Source organism: Homo sapiens, chromosome 13, assembly GCF_000001405.40.
Source record: "Homo sapiens chromosome 13, GRCh38.p14 Primary Assembly".
NCBI lineage: Eukaryota > Metazoa > Chordata > Mammalia > Primates > Hominidae > Homo > Homo sapiens.
Window position 1 is genome coordinate 95,454,361 of NC_000013.11, and position 23,854 is coordinate 95,478,214.

A 23,854-nucleotide genomic window follows, 5' to 3' on the forward strand; every position below is an offset into this window, starting at 1 on the left:
AACCTGGGAGGTGGAGGTTGCAGTGAGATTGCCCCACTGCACTCCAGCCTGGGTGAGCAAGACTGTCTCAAAATTGAAAGAGAGAGAGAGAGGAAGGAAGGGAAGGAAGGAAGGAAAGGAAGGAAAAGCAAGCCTGATGCTGAGACAGAACCACTGGTGCAGGCTCCCCTCCCCTCTCTCCCCACCCTGCTGTGGGGTTGTGGATTGCAGGGCGGGAAGCAAAGTGTCCTTTTTCTATACTCCAGCCTTGTCACAGAAGATTAGTGGAGAGGCAGTAGAGGGGATGAGGTGTGAGTGTGGAAGGATGAAGGGAGGGGTGTGGGATCCTTGTCAGGGTCCTGGGCCCTTTCAGAAAACTTCTTGACTCCTATGAAAATTCATGAATCTGAGGATATACTGAGGGCAAAGATGCTGTCCCACTTTATAGGCAGCTTCTGGTTTTTAAATGCAAATGAATATTTTGGGGGAGGTGTGGTGCCTATTTCCACCCCTTTACAATCAAGTTTGAGTCACAAGCCTGCAAGTCCAGTCAAAACAACATCTTGGCTGGGCGTGGTGGCTCATGCCTACAATCCCAGCACTTTGGGAGGCCAAGGGAGGAGGATCACTTGAGGCCACAAGTTGGAGACCAGCCTGGGCAACGTAGTGAGACCTCAGCATTTTAAAACTAGCTGGGTGTGGTGGAGTACAACTGTAATCCCAGCTACTCTGGAGACTGAGGTGGGAGGACTGCTTAAGCCCAGGGGTTAGAGGCTGCAGTGAGCCATGATCGCACCACTGGGATTACAGGCGAGCCACCATGCCCAGTCAAGGATTATTTTCTATAGCCTCTAATAGAAAAAAAAAAAAAAACTATTTTAAAATTCTCTTCCTGCAGCCTATTGGCCAGTGGCCACAGGATTCTGTTTAGCCAATATATACATATCCTGTCCAGTGGTGCAAAGTACAAAAAAGTGATTTTGTTAGGCTTTTCCCACAGAGGGTGTTTAATGTCTTCTTAAAGGTGTAAGGGAATTGTTCATGGTTTATTTCTTTGTGAAGTTTTTGATTGAATTAAAACACCAATATAAATTGGACTTAAACTGTCTAATGGCAAATTTTCTATAATAAACAAAATTCTAAAATCCTAGAGAACAGAAACTGTGGCTTATAGTTCTGCCTCCACTGCACAGTACTTACTTAGCTTCGTGCATGGTAAAAATAAGGGTTCTGTAAGTTCATTTGTTGGGTGAATGGATTTATTTATTCATGAATAAATTCTTTATTCATGAAAGAACTTATTTATTCACTCATTACATTTCTTCCTTTGTTTGCATTTTACCTTTCATTTTGTTTATTCTTTGGACTCAATAACACTTTTCATATCATTTTCAATAAGAGAGTTGAATAACTGTATATTGACCTGAATTGAAAAGAGAAATGGAAACAGAAAATCTTTAGCAAATTGAACTAAAAATCTCCCAGTGAGTTACAAATTAATCCAGTGAAATGTTCCGGATGTTTTGGATGAGGGAATTCTATTTCATACAGGTCACACTCCCTTACCAACCTCAGGCCTGGCTGAAGGAAGATTCTTCTAATCCAAAACATCCTGCAATTTTAATTTAATTATGAAACAGCATGTTGTGCTAGCTAAGTTAGACTTCAAGATGACTTAGCAGAAATCCCCTGGTTTGATAATAAATACAGATGCCATCCAGTGCAATAAAAATGACTGCATCAGGCCAGAGGCAGGTACAAAAAAGCTGAAAGAGGCTTTTATTTATTGTGATGCCAGAGGCAATAAAATTGTGTATCATTTGGGGTGAAACTTTTAATTTCATATCTTGTAGGTATTAAACTACACTTGCTATCTGCACATCCAAGTAAATCGTCTCCCATCTTTACTCCCTGTCTTTACTTTCACAAAAATCTTAATTCTGGGTTCTGCCAACGCTGCTTTCTTACCTATTCCTTGTCTGTTCCTTGTCTCCACAAATCTCCCAACCCCTTTCCCATATCTACTCTCCTATTCCACCCCACTTTTCTCTAAGGAACTCCAGGAAGCAGAGGTGAAACCCCTGTCCAAGAATATTCAAATATGTATTTATTCCTTCATGCAACAAAAATCAGCCTAGCATGGTGACTCACTCTTGTAATCTCAGCACTTTGAGAGGCTGAGGCAGGAGGATTGCTTAAGGCCAGGAGTTCAAGACCAGCTTGGGCAACATAATAAGACGCCTGTCTCCACAAAAAATTAAAAAAAAAATTAGCTGGTCATGATGGAGCACAGCTTAGTCTCAGTTACTTAAGAGGTTGAGATGGGAGGATTGCTTGAGCCTAGGAATTCAAGGCTGCAGTGAACTGTCATCATGCCACTACACTCCAGCTTGTGCTACAGAGGGAGACCCTGCACAAAACGAAACAAAACAAAATGAAACAAAAACAAAATGAAAACATTCATTAGGCATCTCCTATGCATAAGGCATTTTGCTTTGTTTGTAAAGACAGATCACAAAAAAGCAAGTTATTTTGTCTATTCTCCAAGGGAGATTTAAATTTGCAGGCAGGATTGAAGCAGAATGAGAAATAGGAAAAAGATGGAGCTGATATGTACAAATATGTAAGACAGATGGAGTCTCTGCCAGGCTGTAAATAGCATAGGTCCTAAACCAAACTCATCATGTTCCTCTGCAAAAGCACTTCCTCCCACAGCCTTCCTGTTGCGTCTCGGTCCCGCAAGTGTTCCTGTGATCCAGAAGCATTTTATTGCACCCATCTTCTGGTCACCTCTGTTGTTGTGTATGCATTTGCTTGTTTCTTTAGCAGGACTATGTCTTAACCCTGGCATATGGAGGCAGATCCAATTCCTAGTCCATCCACATCTCTGGAGATTATTCCAGTTTTCAGCATTAATAAGTTACTAAAAAAAAATTGTTGAGTTAAATTATGTTCTTACCATTGCACAAGCTTACAAAATCTGCTTCAGATCAAACAGCCATCTTCTACATTGCAGAGTTTGTTTCGTATGCAAATGGATCCTCTTTCGTTGAGAAGCCAGGTGTGTAGAAACTCAGGGAGGACCAAAGCAAGGTGCTGGGGCTCTGTGTTCTGTGCAGTCTTGGGAACTGACAGAGCAGTTGTGGTTATCTGTTTGACCTTGTACTTGGTGAATCACATACTGATGTAGGGGGATTCCCTGTTGCTACCACTATTTGTTCCATTCTCTAGTTTCCTACTCGAGTTTCAGATACTCTGCAACTAGAAATGACCTTAGTTCTTCCCAGTTATCAGATATTATTTTCTGACCCTCAGTTTCGCTGGGGATGCCACTAGCCTGGCATATGAATGGTTTTCAAATAAGAATCTCTTCCAAACAGAAGAGGCAGCCTGGGTATATAGTGATGGTTTCTGCCCTTTTTCTAGGGTGTACTCTCTTGAAGACCCTCTAGGAAGCCAAAACTGCACTGGGCATATCTGCAGCAATCTCTGTCATCTCATTAGGGTATGTTGAAAATAAGTCAACCTGTGAGTTAGCTATTGTCAGAAAATTGCTATGTAACCAACAACCACAGATCCTCATGGTCAACAACAATAATGAACATTCATTTCTTGTACCTGTGAAGTTCAGCTAATCTAGGCTGGACTTTGCTGATCTCAACTGGACTCAACTTATGCACCTGGGGTCTAATGGGGGTTGGCTGACCTTAGATGAGGTTGGCTGGGGTGACTTGGTTCTGCTCTACCTGTCTACCTCCTAGAACAGTAGGCTTGCCTGAGCATATACTTTTCATGGCAAAAACACAGCAAAACAAGCTCAATTACATGAGTGGTTGTGTAGACCTCTGATTGTATCATGTCTATGACATCCCATTGGTCAAAGCAAGTCATATGGCCAAACACAGAGTCAAGAGGTAGAGAAATAGCCTCCGTGTTTTTGTTGTTCTTGTTGTTTTGTTTTTTGAGACAAAGTGTTGCTCTGTGACCCAGGCTGGAGTGCAGTGGTGATCATGGCTGTATTAGTTCATTTTCACATTGCTATAAGGAAATACTTGAGACTGGGTAATTTATAAAGGAAAGAGGTTTAATCAACTCATGCTTCTGCATGGCTGGAAAGGCCTCAGGAAACTTACAGTCATGGTGGAAGGTGAAGGGGAAGCAAGCCACCTTCTTCACAGGCAGCAGGAAGGAGAAGTGATGAGTGAAGGGGGAAGAACCTCTTATAAAACTATCAGATCTTGTGAAAACTCACTATTACCAGAAGAGCATGGGGGAAACTGCTCCCATGATTCAATTACCTCCACCTGGTCTCTCCCTTGACACACAGGGATTATGGGGATTATGGGGATCACAATTCAAGATGAGATTTTGGGTGGGGACACAGCCAAACCACATCATTCTGCCCCAGCCCCTCCCAAATCTCATGTCCTCACATTTCAAAACATAATCATGCCTTTCCAATTGTCCCCCAAATTCTTAACTCATTCCAGTATTAACCCAAAAGTCCAAATCCAAAGTCTCATCTGAAACAAGTCAAGTACCTTCCACCTATGAGCCTGTAAAATCAAAAGCAAGTTAGTTACTTCTGAGATGCAATGGGAGTACAGCACTGGGTAAATACACCTGTTACAAATGGGAGAAATTGGCCAAAACAAAGGGGCTACAGACCCCATGCAAGTCCAAATTCAGTGGGGCAGTCATTAAATCTTAGAGCTCCAAAATATCTCCTTTGACGCCATGTCCTACATCCAGGTCACACTGATGCAAGAGGTGGTCTCCCATGGCCTTGGACAGCTCTGTTCCTGTGGCATTGCAGGGTACAACCCCACTCCTGGCTGCTTTCACAGGCTGGCGTTGAGTGTCTGCAACTTTTCCAGGTGCATGGTGTAAGCCGTCAGTAGATCTACCATTATGGGGTCTGGAGGACAGTGGCCCTCTTCTCACAGCTCCACTAGGCTATGCCCTAGTAGGGACTCTGTGTGGGGGCTCTGACCCCACCTTTCCCTTCCACACTACCCTACCAGAGGTTCTCCATGAGGGCTCCACCCCTGCCACAAACTTCTTCCTGGACATCTGGGCATTTCCATACATCCTCTGAAATCTAGGCAGAGGTTCTCAAACCTCAATTATTAACTTCTGTGCACCTGAAGGCCCAACACAATGTGTAAACTGCCAAGGCTTGGGACTTGCACCCTCTGAAACAATGGTCTGCGCTGTACATTGGCCCATTTTAGCCATGGCTAGGATGCAGGGCACCAAGTCCTGAGACTGGACAAAGTAGCAAGACCCTGGATCTGGCCCATGAAACCAGTTTTTCCTCCTAGGCCTCCAGGCCTGTGATGGAAGGGGCAGCCATGAAGACCTCTGACATGCCCTGGAGACATCTTCTCCATTGTCTTGGTGACTAACATTTGGTTCCTCATTACTTATGCAAATTTTTCCAGCCTGCTTGAATTTCTCCCCAGAAAATGGGGTTTTCTTTTATATTGCATTGTCAGGCTGCAAATTTTCTAAACTTTATGCTCTGCTTCCCATTTAAATATAAGTTACAATTCCAAATCATCTCTTTGTGAATGCATACAACTGAATGCTTTCAAGAGCACCCAAGTTACCTCTTGAACACTTTGCTTCTTAGAAATTTCTTCTGCCAGATACCCTAAATCATCTCTCTCAAGTTCAAATTTCCACAGATCTCTAGGGCAGGGGCAAAGTGCTTCCAGTCTCTTTGCTAAAGCACAGCAAGAGTCACCTTTATTCCAGTTCCCAAAAAGATCCTCATCTCCATCTGAGACCACCTCAGCCTGGACTTCATTGTCAATATCACTATCAGTATTTTGGTCAAAGTCATTCAACAAGTCTCTAGAAACTTTCAAACTTTTCCACATCTTCCTGTCTTCTTTTGAACCTTCCAAACTCTTCCAACCTCTGCCTGTTACCCAGTTCCAAAGTTGCTTCCACATTTACAGGTATCTTTATAGCAGCAACATACTCTCTGTGGTACCAATTGACTGTATTAGTCCATTCTCACATTGCTATAAGGAAATACCTGAGACTGGGTAATTTATAAAGGGAAGATGTTTAATTGACTCATGGTTCCTGTGGCTGGGAAGGCCTCAGCAAACTTACAATCATGGTAGAAGGCGAAAAAGCCACCTTCTTCACATGGCAAAAAGGAAAGAGCCCCTTATAAAACCATTAGATCTCATGAAAACTCACTCAATGCCACAAGAACAGCGTGGGGAAAACCACCCCCATGATTCAATTATCTCTACCTGATCTTTGCCGTGACATGTGAAGATTTTACGAGGATTATGGGGATTACAATTCAAGATGAGATATTGGGTGAGGACACAGCCAAACCATATCAATGGCTCACTGCAGCCTCAACCTCCTGGGTTCAAGCAATCCTCCCACCTGAGCCTCTCTCCTCTGGAGTAGCTGTGATTACAGGCACATACCACCGCACTCAGCTAAAATTTTAATTTTTAGCTGGGTGCGGTGGCTCACACCTGTAATCTCAGCATTTTGGGAGGCTGAGGCCGGCGGATTGCCTGAGGTCAGGGGTTCAAAACCAGTCTGGCCAACATGGTGAAACCCCATCTCTACTAAAAATACAAAAAAGTTAGCTGGATGTGGGTGGTGCACACCTGTAATCCCAGCTACTCCAGAGGCTGAGGCAGGGGAATTGCTTGAATCAGGGAGGTGGAGGTTGCAGTGAGCCGAGATCAGCTCACTGCACTCCAGCCTGGGTGACACAGCGAGACTCTGTCTCAAAAGAAGAAAAAATTATTTTTTAGAGACACAGTCTCCCTATGTTGCCCAGGCCGGTCTCAAACTCCAAAGCAATCCTCCCACCTCAGCCTCCTAAAGTGCTGGGATTACAGATGTGAGCCACCATGCCCAGCCTTGCATTCTGTGTTCTTAAATAATAGTGTGACCTTGAGTGGAGCTCAGCTAGAACACTCTAGTACTTCTACTCCACCCCATTCTATTGCTCTTTGATTTCTATCCCTCATAATGGAGTCATTCAGGAGAGGAAAGAACAGATACTTCTTGAGGCCTTTATTTATGCTAAAAGTCACTTTACCTTTTTCCTTTGCCTTTGATTCCTGTTCACTCCTGTCCTCAAGTTATTTGACTTTTTTTGTTCTATGGTGGTGTCTCCAGCATCCTACTTTAGAGAAAGAAGTTATTGGTCTTTCCCCTGTCCTATACCAGACCCCATTTTCATTAGCATGACTGTTTTCCTGACCTCGTCATGATTTGTGAATCCCAGAGTTCCCTTGGAGAACTGAATTATTCCAGGAAAACAACTTTGAGATAAAACAACTTCAGCTTCCTCAACCAAATTCCTGATGACAGTTCTGCTTTATAAATCAAAGCTACCACTTGATCCCACAAGTGCAAATGCTTTACCTGTGCACTTCTGTGAGACACAGAACAGCAGAACTTGTTCTTAATGAAACACTTGATCATGCACAGTGGCTCATGCCTGTAATCCTAATACTTTGGGAGGCCAATGCAGGAAGATCACTTGAGGCTAGGAGTTCAAGACCAACCTGGGCAACATAGCAAGACCCCATGTCTACAAAAAGTAAAAAAAAAAAATTAGCCAAGCACAATGGTGCCATCTGTAGTTCCAGCTCCTCAGGAGGCTGAGGTGGGAAGATCACTTGAGCCCAGGAGGTGAAAGCTGCAGTGAGTTATGACAGTGCCATTGCACTCCAGCCTGGGTGGCAGAGTGAGACCCTGTCTCAAAAATAAAAATAAACACTTTACATGCAGTAGTACTTAAACCCTATTGAAGAATTTTGTTGGGTAAAGCCTGTAAAATCCAGCTGTAATACCTCACTGAGTCCTGCATTAATTAATCATAATTAATAATAAATAACTCATGAGTTAACGATGGTCATTTGTATTTGTATGAATTATGATTTTACCTTTTTAAACATTGCCTTTCAATACTACATTGCTAAATCACATTCAGATTATAATCTTTATAGCCACTTTTACTTATTTTGTTCATTCTGCCTGTAAGGAAAGTTATTTAAATTTATTAAAACCAATATTGACTTCATGTCATCATTCTGTAAACATTTTTCAGAAGTAAATAACTTTCATAAGGACAAAGACTTGGGTATCAAAGGAAGCCAAGAGGCCCAGAATAAACATGTGGGCAGGACCTAGGGTGGGCACAGCCCTATCACACGGTTCCCTTTACAAGGGTGGTTGGGAGTCTCTCAGATGCTGGAAGTGAGGAAAAAGGAGTCAGGGCCTGGGGACCACTTGGCAGAGGAGTTAGTTTTTAGGCCAGAACACACAAACCTGTTTGAGGCATTAAGTATTTGGAGAAGAAGACAAAAAACAGAAATGGTAGCCAAGTTCCACCTCATTCTAAATAACAGCTGAGTTTTAGGTAGAAAAAAGGAAAGGAAGAATTTATAAAGGGAACTGGAAGCAACCAGAAATGGGGAAAATATAAACGACTCAAAAGATACTGTGATGCTATAATTCCACTACTAACAGTCCAGTTTCTGCAAGGTTCTTATCTGATTGGAAGAAGAAAAACAATCTACGGGCTCAGGGATACAAAAGAGTAATGCCTAATTTATGCCTTGTTCCCCTAATCAGTGGCTGTAAGCTGCTTGCCAAGGACTGAGGCCTTCAGAGCCTTTGTGTTTGCTATGTTGGTGCTTCTGAAATGTTTCTCATGTAAATCCTTGTCGACAGGGCAAGCCCTCTAACCAGGGACCCACATCTCTCTATAATAATATCCTTAAGGTTTTCTCTCCATTGTTTTGCCCATAAGAGCATTTGAGTTTGACTCTTAACTATCAATATCTAACTATCTACCTATCTATCATCTATCTATCTATACACATATATATGTATGTATATATATTTCTGTATATATACATATAGTTGAGTCAAAAGTGCAAATGCTTAATATATATATATATATATATATATATATATATATATATATTTGCCTTTTTTTTTTTTTTTTTTTTGAGACAGAGTCTCCCTCCTTTACCCAGACTGGAGTTAAGTAGCATGATCATGGCTCACTGTAGCCTGGGCCTCCTGGGCTCAGGTGATCCTCCCACCTGAGCCTTTTGAGTGGCTGGGTCTACAGGCATGTGCCACCACATCTGGCTAATTTTTGTATTTTTTGTAGAGATGGGTTTTCGCCATGCTGCTCAGGCTGGTCTTGAACTCCTGGAATCAAGCAATACTCCCACTTCAGGCTCCCAAAGTGCTGGAATTACAGGCATGAGCCACTGAGCCTGGCCTTAACTATACTTTAAAGCAGGTTTTGAAACTACTTACACAGGTTTAGCCATGTGACACTATTTACAGCAGTCAGTCAGAACTGAAGGAAGTTCACTCTCTGCCTCCACATGGACAACATCATCTCTTGGCAGTGACCCAATACACAGGCTAAGGACTTGCCTCTTTTTGTCTTTGGACAAAAAGAGTTGTCCAAACCCTCTTTTTTGGACAACTCAGCTAGGGCTATCATTTCTTTGTGCCATTTATGGGTTTATCTGAAATACACAGCTGCTGAAATTGTCTGAATTAAATTTCACTCTGTGATCAAACTTTTCTTTCATTTTCAAGGTTATTGGAGCAAGTTTATTCATTACACAAGGACATTAGTCATTTTTAACTTGGTATTATGAAGCTGTCTAATCTAACATTTATGTATACAACTGGCAAGCCTAATAGTCCCAAGACAGACCCATGATTTTTTTTAAATATATATATATATATTTATTATATTTTAAGTTCTAGGGTACATGTGCACAACGTGCAGGTTTGTTACATATGTATACATGTGCCATGCTGGTGTGCTGCACCCATTAACTCGTCATTTACATTAGGTTTATCTCCTAATGCTATCCCTCCCGCCTTCCCCCACCCCACAACAGGCCCCGGTGTGTGATGCTCCCCTTCCTTGTCCAAGTGTTCTCATTGTTCAATTCCCACCTATGAGTGAGAACATGCGGTGTTTGGTTTTTTGTCCTTGCGATAGTTTGCTGAGAATGATGGTTTCCAGCTTCATCCATGTCCCTAAAAAGGACATGAACTCATCATTTTTTATAGCTGCATAGTATTCCATGGTGTATATGTGCCACACTTTCTTAATCCAGTCTATGATTGTTGGACATTTGGGTTGGTTCCAAGTCTTTGCTATTGTGAGTAGTGCCGCAATAAACATACATGTGCATGTGTCTTTATAGCAGCATGATTGATATTCCTTTGGTGTATACCCAGTAATGGGATGGCTGGAGACCCGTGATTTTTATGGTCTTGGATGTTGTTCATGATGACAAGGGTGTACATGTCCCAGACGCCATGCTGCAGTGCTGCACATTTCAAAGATACTGTGTTTTTGCTTTTTTTTTTGAGACAGGGCCTCACTCTGTCACCCAGGCTAGAGTGCAGTGGCGTGATCTTGGCTCAGTGCAACCTCTGCCTCCCAGGCTCAAGTGATCCTCCCGCCTCAGCCTCCCAAGTAGCTGGAATTACAGGTGTGCAGCACATGGCTAATTTTTGTATTTTTTGTAGAGATGATGTTTCACCATGTTGCCCAGGCTGGTCTCAAACTCCTGACCTCAAGTCATCCGCCTACCTTGGCCTCCCAAAGTGCTAGGGTAACAGGTTGTATTAGTCCATTTTCACACTGCTGATAAAGGCATACCTGAGACTGGGAAGAAAATAAATTTAATGGACTCACAGTTCTACGTGACTGGGGAGGCCTCACAATCATGGCAGAAGGCAAAAGACACTTTTGCCTTTTGGTGGCAGAAAGAGAGAATGAGGCAGAAGCGAAAGTAGAAGCCCCTTATTAAACCATCAGATCTTGTGAGACCTATTCACAACCATTAAAACAGTATGGGGAAAACCGCCCCCATGATTCAATTATCTCCCACTGGGTCCCTCCCACAACACGTGGGAATTATGGCAGTACAATTCAACTTGAGATTTGGGTGGGGACACAGAGCCAAACCATATCACAGGTGTACCATGCCCCGCTGATACTGTGTTTTAAAACCCTCACTTATGGTAGTAGAATTATTATCTTAACTTTAGAGATGAAACAATAAGCAAAATGCTGAGACTTTAAGGTTAAGTAATTTGCTTACAATCACACAGCCAGGAAAGTTAAGTTTAAGTCTAGAGTACTTGCCCTAAAACTCCAAGCCATTCACTACAAAAATACTCACTGGCCACCTGGCAGGTGAATAACCATGCCAGCGGCAAAGGAGAAATACACACACTTCCTATCATTTAAGAGTTTTCATTCTACACTCCTCTTAGATCTTGGATAAGTCATTCATGCTGGCATTGTTTATGATAAAAGTAGATTTACAAAGATTTTCTCCACTAGATTCAAAAAGATATCTTTTCCTGTGGCAATCTCTGAGATCCATTCACCTTCGATACTCAGAGTCTTTCTTCGCTACTGTCATCTCATTATGTTTAGAGATCCTCTAGAATAGGTGCTGTTTATCTGGGAGTTAATGAACTTGGATTTTGTCAAATGTATTTTCTGTGTCTACTGAGATGATTGTGTGATTTTCTGTTTATTCTATCAATATAATGTATTCCATTAATTGATTTTCTAATATTAAACCAACCTGGAATCCCTGAGATAAATCCCATTTAGTCATGGTGTATGTTTATGTTTATTTATTTATTTTACTATTTTAAAAATATTTTTATGTTATATATATTTTACCACTATTTATTTACTTTACTATTAAAAATAGTGGTAAAATATATATAACATAAAATTTGCCATTTGAACCATTTTCAAGTGTAAAATTCTTTTTATATGTGTCTGGATTCGGTTTGCTATTACTTTATTGAGGATTTTACTATTCACTAAAATGTGGATATTAGTCTGTAGTTTTCTTTTTCTTTCTTTTTTTTGATGTTGTTGTCTGCTTTTGGTGTTGGGGTAATATTGGTCTCATAAAATGGATTGAGAAGTGTTTCCTCTCTTCTATTTTTTGGAAGCGCTTGTCTGATGTGTTGGGTAGAGCTTGATGATGATAGGCTTTGACTGTTAAAGTGAGGCTGCCTGGCTTTATAACAAGGCAGTGAGAACCCATTGGAGCTTGAACCAGAGAATGTGCATTTCAGTAATAATTTTGAAATAATAATTTAACAAATCACTACATGTAAATATATATGACAAAGTAAATGGGAACCCTCCTCATGAGATAAAGGAGAACTGAAATCATATAGTTTAGGAAGCAAATGAAAAAAAAATCATACAGCTTAGGAGGCAAGTGGAAATATATCTGTAATAGACAAGAAAGGAATAACTTGTCATTGATGCCTTAAAAATATAAGTTTAACGTCAAGGTAGGCAAAAAAAATAAAGCATTTACTTGTAAAAATTTTAGTATAGAAATAATGTACAAAAGTAGAGAAAATAGTATAATAATCCCCCATATTCTGATCTTGTATTCTTCAACAATTATCAACACATGACCAGTTTTGTTTCCTCTATACCCCCTCTACTTTTTTTTTTTTTTTTTTGAGACAGAGTCTCGCTCTGTCTCCCAGGCTGGAGTGCAGTGGCATGATCTCGGCTCACTGCAAGCTCCATCTCCTTGGTTCATGCCATTCTCCTGCCTCAGCCTCCCGAGTAGCTAGGACTACAGGCGCCTGCCACCATGCCCGTTTTTTTTTTTTGTATTTTTAGCAGAGATGGGGTTTCACCATGTTAGCCAGGATGGTTTTGATCTCCTGACTTCATGATCTGCCCACCTCAGCCTCCCAAAGTGCTGGGATTACAGGTGTGAGCCACCGCGCCCAGCCACCCCCTCTACTTTTAACCCATACTCCTACTCTTGATGAATTATTTTGAAGCAGATTCCAGATACTGAAATTATTTTATTCATAAATATTCCAGTATATATCTCTAAAATTTAAGGACTTTTAAAAGCATAGCCCTGTAAATGTCATTGCATCCAAAAAAAATCAACAATATTTCCATAACATCATCAAGTATCCAGGAAATGTTCCAAATATCCCTGATAGTCTCATACTTTTTTTAAAACTTGGTTTGTTCAAATAGGAATCCAAACTAAGGCTCTTCCATTGCATTTGGTGAATATGCCTTTTAAATATCTTTTAATCTATAAATTACCCCTCCCTCTATTGTTTTTTTTGGGGGGGGCAATTTATTTGTTGATGAGTAATACTTTCTGTTGGCCTATAAAATGTCCTATACTCTGCTTTTTGTTGATTTTATCCCTGTGGAGGTGTGGCTTAGCCAAGTTTCTCCAGAGAAACAGAATCAATAGAAGAAAGAGAGAGAAAGAAGGATTTATTACAAAGAATTGGGTCACATAATTATGGAGGCAAACAGGTCCCAAGATCTGCAGCCAACCACCTGGAGCCCCAAGAGAGTGTAATCTGAAAAACTGAGAAACAGCAGAGCTGATGGTGTGGTTCAGTCCACAGGCCAGCAGGCTCAAAACTCAGGAAGAGCTGATGTTTCAGTTCTGGTTCAAAGACAGGAAAAACGTTGATGCTCCCTCTGGAAGGCTGTCAGATGGGAAGAATTCTCTCTTAGTTAGGGTGGGTCAACCTTTTTGTTCTATTCAGGCCTTCAACTGTAGGATGAGGTCTACAATGATCCAAAAAGGGAGGAATCTGCTTTACTTAGTCTACCAATTTAAATATTAATCTCATCTAAAAACGCCCTCACAGAAACATCCAGAATAATGTCTGACCAAATATCTGGGCACACCATGGCCCAGTCAAGTTGACACACAAAATTTACTATCCTAGAGTGTATTTCCTATAAGTTTGTAGTTAGTAGTTAGGTCCTGATTAGATTCTGGATTCTTCCTGTTTTTGTTTGTTTGTTTGTTTGTTTGTTTGTTTTGGTAATTGTCTTACCTCTGGCCAATAGGCTCTGGTTCCTAAGTCTTTTTGGCATGCTTTTACCGTCTTTGACAGTTTCTTTGCTGGCTGATATGACAAGATGTTCCAAACTTATCCCTGATGTTGAATCGACCATTTCTCCAAAGAACCCTGTTCACTTTAACCAGAAATGGTATTTAGAGTGCATTAGGCCAGGCCAGATATGTGGCTCATGCCTTTAATCCCAACACTTTGGGAGGCTGAGGTGGGCAGATTGCTTGAGGTCACGAGTTTGAGGCCAGCCTGGCTAACATGGTGAAACCCCATCTCTACTAAAAATACAAAAATTAGCCAGGTATGGTGGCATACACTTGTAATCCCAGCTACTTGGGAGGTTGAGGTGGGAGGATCATTTGAACCCCAGAGGTGGAGGTTTCAGTGAGCCAAGATCACGCCACTGCACTCCACCCTGGGTGACAGAGTGAGACCCTGTCTCAAAAAAAAAAATGAAGAAAGAAAACGGCCTGGGTGCTAAGGACACACTTAGCTACTCTTAGTCAAGGTATCTAGGCCTTTTCAACAGACAGAGCTAAGAATAGTGTATTTTACCATAAAACACATCATGTGTTCTTATTAATATTTCCAATTCAAACTTAGGATAGAAGGTTTTTATTTAACTTCTTTGATTTGATATTTATATTTTTCTTGCACTGAAAACCTTAGCTCCTAATGAAATAATGTAATTTATTTTTCTACTAAATACATTATGATTTCATAATAATCATACCTTACTATCAGAAAATATCATATCAGAGAAAAAATTATTCTAAAAAGAGAATTATGGAAAACCACTTCAGATTTCTTTACAGTTTTTTGGTTTTGTTTTCTGTTTCTTTTTTTTTTTTTTCTTCCTCTGGCATTTACCCCACTAGGATTATGTGGTCTCATGACTGTAGTTTAAAAATAGAATCATTAAAAAAGTCTAGATTCAGCTGACATCCAGGTATTTTAGCCAACTATGAAGGCAGAAATGATGTGCCATGGAGAGATTATGATCTGAGTGATGTAGCCAACTATTAACCTAAGTTTCTGCGAATTCAGGGGATGTGGACAGCTATATTCCATATTTAACTTCACCTTCTATATTTAGTAGGAGCACATTGTTGCTACTGATCAGTTATTCAATGGGATGAGAGTTAAATTCACTCATGAAGCTTTTGTCTTTAGGAGGAAAATGTAAAGTTTTAGAGCCACAGAGGGTTACAGTGGTACTGAACCTTGAAGGCCACCTGGTTTAATCACCGTAGTCTACAGAGGAGGAAACTAAGATCCAGCAGTGTCTAGCAACTTACCTAAGATCTCACCACTAGTTAGTAGCAGGGATAGAACTGGAAAATAATCTGCTGTCTCCTTTCCATTGATCTGTGCTGTTCCCTTGCTCTCCTTGTGTAAATGCTGAAGCGGATCATCATGAGCCCAGGATGAGCAAGGGAGGCCCGTTCTGAAAGTTCAATCTCAAGACTGAACACACTCAAAAAATGCTTATGAGACATTTGGTGGGCTATTTGGTAAATATTGAGTAATTGGCTCTAAGTATATAACAAGACAGGCTTTATTGTCTTTTTAATTTTTTACTTGCCCAGGTGATAAATTGAATATGTATCTGGTATGATCTGAAAGCTGGAGACACTATGTCAAACATTTAAGACAATCTTCTCACCGTATTCTATTTTTAAAACAATACAACAGTACTTGAAAATAATTTCTAAAGTCTCGATTATAAATGTTGTCTGTGTTCATGTATCTCATTCAATAAACCACCACTACATACAATGTACTGGGCTACATGGACTTTTTCAACAACTAGAACCCTGCAAATATGGAACTAGGCTGCCCCATAAGTTAGTGAAGTGGAGAACTGACAACTAGTGGATTAGTGAATTCTTACCAGAAATATGCACAGGGAATTCCTACAGAGGTCAAAGGATGGGACTTGATGACATCTGGTGTCCTTGTCCTTTCTAATCCTAAGATTAGATTGTTTTTGTTTTGTTGTTTTGTTTTAGAGAGTCTTGCTATGTTAACTAGGCTGGACTTGAACCTTGAACTCCTGGGCTCAAAGGACCTCCCACCTCAGCCTTCCAAGCAGCTGGAACCATAGGTGCGCACCATCATGGCTGGCTGGATGAGAGACCTGTATTCTATAATTTGTGTGATGCCCCTATTAAAGTAGCTTGTTTGGGGAGCGAGTAGTAACCATTTACACAAAGAGATACAACATGTTCTTCTCTCCCCTTTTTCTTCTAAGTCAAAGTTCAGTCTCTATTTACAGCCAACCCCCGAAGGCTCAACATATCAGAGAATAAGGCATAGTGAGCCCTTAGGGAAAGTCTCCATGGAACTCTCATCTTAGGGACCCCTCTTCACGAATGAAAAGACATGCTTTGCGGGAATCACAGCAACTTCCTGCTGGCCGTGCACGTCCTGCCTATTTCTGTTCTCTTCTCTCCAGCTGTCTTCCATTTCAATCACACACTTGTCTCTGTTACTGATACCCCCTCCCACTCCGGGTTTATTAGTAGCTACGTTCTCAGCCCAACGGTGAAAGAGAAGCAAGTGGACAATTTTGGGACCTGGAAAGTTATTCATCCACAGCCGACGTGCTGGTTCACGTTAACGCCAGCCAACAAATGCATGAGCCCCTACTGCGGGCCCGGCTCTGAGATAGGTGCTGGGGAAAGTGAAGGAGACACAGTTCCTGCTCTTCCAGGCTAGAGGGGGAAAGGAGACGAGAAAGGAGAGGTTACAGGAAAGCCCGAGAGCATGAGCACGGAAAAGGGTAAAGTCCTAGCCTCACAGAGGATTAGAAGCCACTCTGAGCCAAATGATTTCACTGTGACCTGAAGGAAAAGGGGAGGAGAATTTCCAGGCAGGGGAAAGACAGATCCAAAGGTCCAGAACAACGGGAGTTCAGGGAATTCAAGGAACTGAAAGAGTAAGGCATGTTGGAGTGACTGTCTCGAGATGACTCAAGCGAGGAAGGCAGGAGTTAGACCACCAGTGGAGGGGCTTGTCACAGAACTCCAAGAAGTGCTCACCAGAACTTCAGCTCTGACTTATGGATATATATGTGTGTGTGTGTGTATATATATAACATACACACACATGTATATATACACACACACATATACACACACACACACACACACACATATATATATATATTTTTTTTTTTTTTTTTGAGATGGAGTCTTGCTCTGTCGCCCAGGCTGGAGGGCAGTGGTGTGATCTTCGCTCACTGCAACCTCCACCTCCAGGGTTCAAGTGATTCTCCTGCCTCAGCCTCCTAAATAGCTGGGATTACAGTCGCTCACCACCACACCTGGCTAATTTTGTATTTTTAGTAAAGACAGGGTTTCACCATGTTGGCCAGGCTGGCCTCGAACTCCTGACATCAGGTGATCCACCCTCATTGGCCTCCCAAAGTGTTGGGATTACAGGCATGAGCCACTGCACCTAACCTTTTTTTTCTCTTTTAAACAGAGACAGAGTCTCACTCTTGTCACCAGCCTGGAGTGCAGGGGCGCCATCACAGCTCACTGCAGCCTCAGCCTCTGGGGCTCAATCATCATGGCTCACTGCAGCCTCAGTCTTCCCGCCTCAGCCTCCCAAGTAGCTGGGACTACAAGGCGCATGCCACCACACTCAGCTATTTTTTTTTTTTTTTTTTTTTTTGGTAGAGATAGAGTCTGCTTTATTGCCCAGGCTGGTCTCGAACTCCTGCAGTCAAGCGATCCTCCAGCCTCAGCCTCTCAAAGTGTTGGGACTACAGGTGTCAGCCACTGTGCCCAGCCTATGGATATATTCTTCAGTGCTGAAGAAATTATTTCCCAGCCTGTTAAATGGCTTCTCAGTTTTGCTTTGAGTAATCAAAAACCACTATTTGCTGAGCACACTCTAGAAGCAGATATGGTAGTACTAGGCCATGGGAGAAAATCCAGTGATAGCAAGCAGCCCTCCCACTACAGAGCTCATAAAATGAGGTTCTTTCTTTTTCAAACTCCAGATACTGATAACAAATACATTCAAAAACCAACAGACAAAAAATAAAAGGCTAAAAGAAACTCATCATCAACTCCTTTAGACCAAATTTTAAAATATAGTGCGATAGGCCAGACACAGTGGCTCACATCTGTAATTCCAGCACTTTGGGAGGCCGAGGTGGGTAGATCACTTGAGGTCAGGAGTTTGAGACCAGTGTGTCCAACATGGCTCTACTTAAAATACAAAATTAGCCGGGTGTGGTAGTGTGTGCCTGTAATCCCAGGTACTTGGGAAGCTAAGGCAGGAGAATTGCTTAAACCCAGGAGGCAGAGGTTGCAGTGAGCCAAGATCACACCACTGCACTCCAGCCTGGGCAACAGAGCGAGACTCCGTCTCAAAAAAAAAAAAAAAAATAGAGTGGGATACTTGTCACTACAGGTAAAACAGAAACTCTAAGGCAAAAGGGAGCTGATTCCCGTAGCAAAATGTTTTTAATTTGAGAGTGTGGGATGAGAAACCCGGTTCTATGACCACAGAGTTCCACTTGGATGTCCCAACCATGGCTCCTAGAATCAGGTGCTCTCTGTCCTGGTGCAGTGGCTCACACCTGTAATCCCCGCACTTTGGGAGGCTGAGGCAGGATGATTGTTTGAGCCCAGGAGGTCAAGAGCAGCCTGGGCAACACAGGGAGACTTGTCAGTACAAATAATTTAAAAATTAGTTGGGTGTGGTGGCATGCACCTGTGGTCCCAGCTACTCAACAGGCTGAGGTAGAAGGATTGTTTAAGCCCAGGAGTTTGAGGCTGCAGTGAGCTACGATCGTACCACAGCACTTCAAGCTGGGTGACAGAGTGAAAACCTATCTCAAAAAAAAAAAAAAAAAAAAGGAGAGAGAGAGAGAATCAAGGGTCTCTCTTTGGGCATTGGGTTCCTCCCTAGAACTTCCGTGTGTATTACTAACAACACAATTGAGAGCACTAGGAAAAATAGCTAATGCATGCTGAGCTTAAGACCTAGGTGATGGGTTAATAGATGCAACAAACCACCATGGCACACATTTACCTGTGTAACAAACCTACACATCCTGCACATGTACCCCAGAACTAAAAATTAAAATTAAAAAAGAAATAACATGGTCTAACAAGGGCTGAGGAAGAGATGCGCCTCGGGTGCCTCAGGCAGCCTGCATGCCAAGTGATGAGGATGGGGGGCCAGGGAACAGCTCCGCCCTCGGCCGCTCACCACCCCAGGATCCTTCAGTCTAGGCTGAGTAGTAATAGCAAATCCCATTCACATCATATTTCATTAGGCTCTCACGTGCCTTATTCAGCTGACCTCTAATGAGAGCATGCATGAGAATCACCCAGAAGGGCTACGGGAACCGAGGGCTGAGGACCGGGTGCCGTCCCCAGAGCTCTGACTCGGCAGGTCAGGGCGGGACTGAGAATTGCATTTCTCACAGGTTCCTGGGCCCTGCTATGCTGCTGGTTCAGGGACCACATCTGGAGAATCACCGGTGAACTCATTTCACAGAAAACCTTCAAAGGCCAGCTCTGCCGCCAGGCTGTTAAGCTTCGGAGGGAACAAACCCCTGCCCTGAAGGGGCTCGCCCACAGTGAAGGAAACAGAAATAAAAAATAAAGTATTAGAATGTAATGCAATAGAACAGCGGTCCCCAACCTTTTTGGCACCAGGGACCGGTTTCGTGGAAGACAGTTTTTCCACGGACGGGGGTCGCAGGGTAGTTTCAGGATGATTCAAATGCATTATATTTATTGTGCAGGTTATTTGTATTATGATTACATTGCAATATATAATGAAATAATTATACAACTCACCATAACGTAGAATCAGTGGGAGCCCTGAGCTTGTTTTACTGAAACTAGACGGTCCCATCTGGGGGTGATGGGAGACAGTGACAGATCATCAAGAGTGACAGATCATCAGGCATTAGATTCTGATAAGGAGGAGGGAACCCAGATCCCTCGTATGTGCAGTTTGCAATAGGGTTCGTGCTCCTATGAGAATCTAATGCCCAGCTGATCTGACAGGAGGCGGAGCTCAGGTGGTGATGTGAGCCATGGGGAGCAGCTGCAGATACAGATGAAGCTTCACTCACCTGCCTGCCACTCACCTCCTGCTGTACGGCCTAGTTCCTAACAGGCCACAGACTGGTACCAGCCCATGGCCCAGGGGTTGGGGACCCCTGCAATAAAACAAAGTCTCAAATGGAGGTTAGAGGAGGCTGCTATGAGCACAGAGCGGAGAAATAGGCCCACCTCAGTCAGGGAAGATAAGAACAGGTTAGCCACGGCTTCTAGCAGGGAAGAGAGTAAGAGAACAAATCCAAGAAGAAGCTGTGTATTCAGAAACAGCAGGGAGGCCTGCAAGGGCAATGGCCCTGTCTCAGTGAAACTGGGGAGGAAACCCATATGTAGAAACGGATGGGGAGAAGAGAATGGAAAAGGCAAGTAGAGATTGATAAGTGCTCCAAGGAGGAGAGAGACCTGGTAAGATCTGCCTTTTGGGAAGCTCATTCCAGGGGGTAGGGTGGAGGAAGATGGGGGTGGGGCAGGCGTGGAGCCAGGCTGGAGGAGGCTGTTCTGTGCTGCAGGTGCCAGAGGGAGGCTTGAGCCCAGAAGAGGCGGTGGGTGGAGGGCCTGAGCCTAATGGGATCTCAGGGATCTGCCAGTATACGTCTCACATCTTGGTGGAGAGGAGGGTTCAAAACTTGCAGGTCTCTTGTGTTTTGGCTTCACAGACAGAGTGAATTGGCTCCTCTCTGCTAAGGAGTCAAGGACACACATGCTGGTGCCACACAGAGGAGGAAACCTATAAGCCAGGAAGTAGGAGCACACACCCAGTGCTGTCCCACAACTCGGATCAGAGGATCAGACGGCAGCAGCTCCCTGCCAGGGATTAAGAGCCCACCCCTGCCCCCTGCTGCCTGCTCCCTTGCACTCTACATATTTGTAGGGATGGGGTCAGGGGACATCCCTGTGATTATGGAAGCTCCCTGGTTGGGAGAAATAACCTTGGTTCAAAAGGGGAGCACCTGGTCCCCAGAGACTGTAACCAGCCCGGCCTCCTGGGGACCTGGGCAGATCTGCTGAGCCTGATCTCCGCTAAGTTCAAGAGAGGGGAGATGAGGCTCTGCAACCACCATCAGATGCCCCAGCCAATTCTCGGAGACAGAGAGAGCCAGGAGTTTTGCCAGCCCACCTCAGCTGTGCTGACTGAGCACTGGCCACCAGTGGGCTTCTCTGCTGCTCCCCAAGGGAGGGAAGTGGCCAGCAGGGTTTGAAAGAGTTTCAGTGCTGTTTGCCCCAATGGCCTCTGGGCCCCTGGTGAGGGTGACTGGCTTGGAGCTCCAGGAAGGTGGCAAGGGCTCCATTCCCACCTCATCCTCCAGCTGCCTTTCTCTGGGTGGCGTCTCAGTGAAGCCAGCCTGGGGTCTATCCTCATGTGCTCTCATGATCCCAAGCCCACCTGCATGGGTCGAGGGTCCCTGCATCTCTCTCTCTCTCTCTGTCTCTCTCTGTCCCTCTCTCTCCCTCTTTCCCTCTCTCTCTCTCTCTCCCTCACCCTCTCTCCCTGTCGGGACTTGAGCACCATGGCTCTGCTGTGATGAGCACCATGGCTCTGCTGTGATGTGACTTATGATTGATGCTGCCCCTGAGCGTGCTGGGTGGTCTTCTATGCTTGTCACAAATCTCTGCCATCTAATTCCACCCCCATCGCCCAGATTGCTTCCTTCCGTGTGCCACTCCCCTTCTGGGCACTTGTGGTGATAGGACATATGAGGGGAGGAGCTGGTTTGGGAGGCGCAAAGGCATGATAAACTCGATTTTGAATGTGTCAAATATGACTTACAGGCAGGTTGACAGGATAGAGATGGATTGTCGGCATTTGGTTAGACGTGTGTGGAGCTCAAGAGGGGAGCCTGAGCTGGTGTCTTAGTCTGTTCAGGCTGCTATAACAAAATGCCTTAGATCGGGTAACTCATAGACAACAGAAATGTATTTCCCACGGTTCTGGAGGGTGGGAAGTAAGTCCAAGGTCAAGGTGCTGATGGATTTGGTGTCCGGTGAGGGCTGCTTTCTGATTCACAGGTGAGTCTTCTCTCTGTGTCCTCACGTGGTGGCAGAAGTGAGGCAGCTCTCCGGAGCCTTCTGTATAAGGGCACTAATCCCATTAATGGGGGCTCCACCCTCAAGATCTAATCACCTCCCGAAGGCCCCACCTCCCAACGCCATCACCTTGGGCATTTGGATTTCAACGTGTGAATTTTGGAGGGACACAGATATTCAGACCATAGCAGCTGTGGGTGAAGATTCAAAGACTCAGAAACAGATGGGACCTCCCAGGCAGTGTGTGAAGGGCAAGGCTGGAACCCTGAACACCAGTGACAAGTAGGAGATGGAGAGAGAAAGGAGGATGCTACCATGTGGATGAAAAGGGGCTTTAACACATATTGCTCAGGTGGCCTCACTATGAAATAACAGGACAGATGAAGTCACTGAGTCTCGGGGGCACCTTCACAATCTCTCACAGCTGTTAGTGGCAGAGCCAGGTCTCCAAGTTCAGAATTTTTCTCCCTACATTTGTTCACTTATTCATTCAACAGTCACTGATTGTGCTCTTTTCTGTGTGTGTACAGGGTCTTGTGTTCATACCATGAGCAGCATAGCAGGGACCCAAGCAAGACTGGGAGGAGAGGCGGGATGCAGACAAGTTGGGAACCAGCCACGCCTCTCCTCCTAGCAGGGGAGTTGCTCTAATAGGTTTTAATTTTATTCAGCTTTGGTGAGGCCAATAGATCAGATGATGACTCTCACTGAAGAGAGAGTTTCTTACTCTCAGATCTAAGAGAAGTGGGCACGCCACGCCATGCAGGGACACCCGGGGCAGCACGAGGGCTGGTCAAGAGGCAGAGGGAGAAGAGAACGTGGCCAGAGCCCTTATTATGGTTTCCACAGGAAAGAGTGGGCAAGGCAGGGTTAGCTAGCTCAGGACTGGCTAGTTTAAATCATTTCAGCAGGCTCTGGGGCATACAGGCTGTTCCTATTTGTCAGATACCTGGTCCTGGGTGATTAGGGCAGGGGGATAGTGGCCTGGAGTGTGAGAGCCAGATAAGGGAATTGGTTGGGATGCGAGCTCTGGGTTGGTTTTCATTTGAAAAGCATATCACCCGGAGGACTCCTTCCAGGGGGAGGGGGACAGTGAGGGAGACATATTATTGGGTTGCACAGAGCAAGGTGTGTCCTGCAGATGCACGCGGGGCAGATGTTAAAGCATCAGGTTTACAGAAAGGAGAAACATGGTTAATACAGAAGCAGAAAAGGAATGCAAAACAGAGAACAACTGCAAAGGTGCACATGCGGAAACACAGGTTGATGTCCTGCCAACCCTACTGTGGATGGTCTGTGGACCAGCAGCACCTGGGACTTAGAGAGGCAGCGTCTCAACCCCTCACCCCAGACTGAACGAATCTGAATCTGCAACACCCTCAGGTAACCCATATGTATCTTAAGCCATGATAAGTACTGGCATCAGCTGCAGACAGGCCCGTGGACAGATGGAGGAGGAGGAGGAAAACGTGTGGTTCGTTAGGGAGGCTTCTTGGAGGAGTCCTCTAACAATGAAAGCCAGCTTTCATGTGAAAAGAAATGAGATCTTTTGCCTAAAACAGTGGTTCTCAAAATTGGCTGCAAATTGGAATCACCTGTTGTGTTTTAAAAAGCTCTGGAGGCCAGGCACAGTGGCTCATGCCTATAATTCCAGCACTTTGGGAGGCTGAGGCTGGCAGATCACTTGAGTCAGAAGTTCAAGACCAGCCTGGCCAACATGGCAAAACACCATATCAACTAAAATAGAAAAAAAAAATAGCTGGACATGGTGGTGCATGCCTGTAGTCCCAGCTACTTGGGAGGCTGAGGCA

At 43.9% G+C, this 23,854-nt stretch overlaps 1 protein-coding gene across 2 annotated transcripts in view, besides 2 other annotated features; it reads left to right on the forward strand.

Moving 5' to 3' along the window:
* Nucleotides 1-23,854, forward strand: part of CLDN10 (claudin 10) — a 146,005-nt gene that overhangs the window by 20,606 nt on the left and 101,545 nt on the right. The window lies entirely within an intron of this gene.
* Nucleotides 3,271-3,330: an enhancer, noted in NCBI's record as "active region_7877". NCBI's record gives its function as "activates an Ori minimal core promoter by ATAC-STARR-seq in GM12878 lymphoblastoid cells {active_cell/tissue: GM12878}" and the evidence as "EXISTENCE:reporter gene assay evidence [ECO:0000049][PMID:35858748]".
* Nucleotides 17,676-17,815: a silencer, noted in NCBI's record as "silent region_5442". NCBI's record gives its function as "represses an Ori minimal core promoter by ATAC-STARR-seq in GM12878 lymphoblastoid cells {active_cell/tissue: GM12878}" and the evidence as "EXISTENCE:reporter gene assay evidence [ECO:0000049][PMID:35858748]".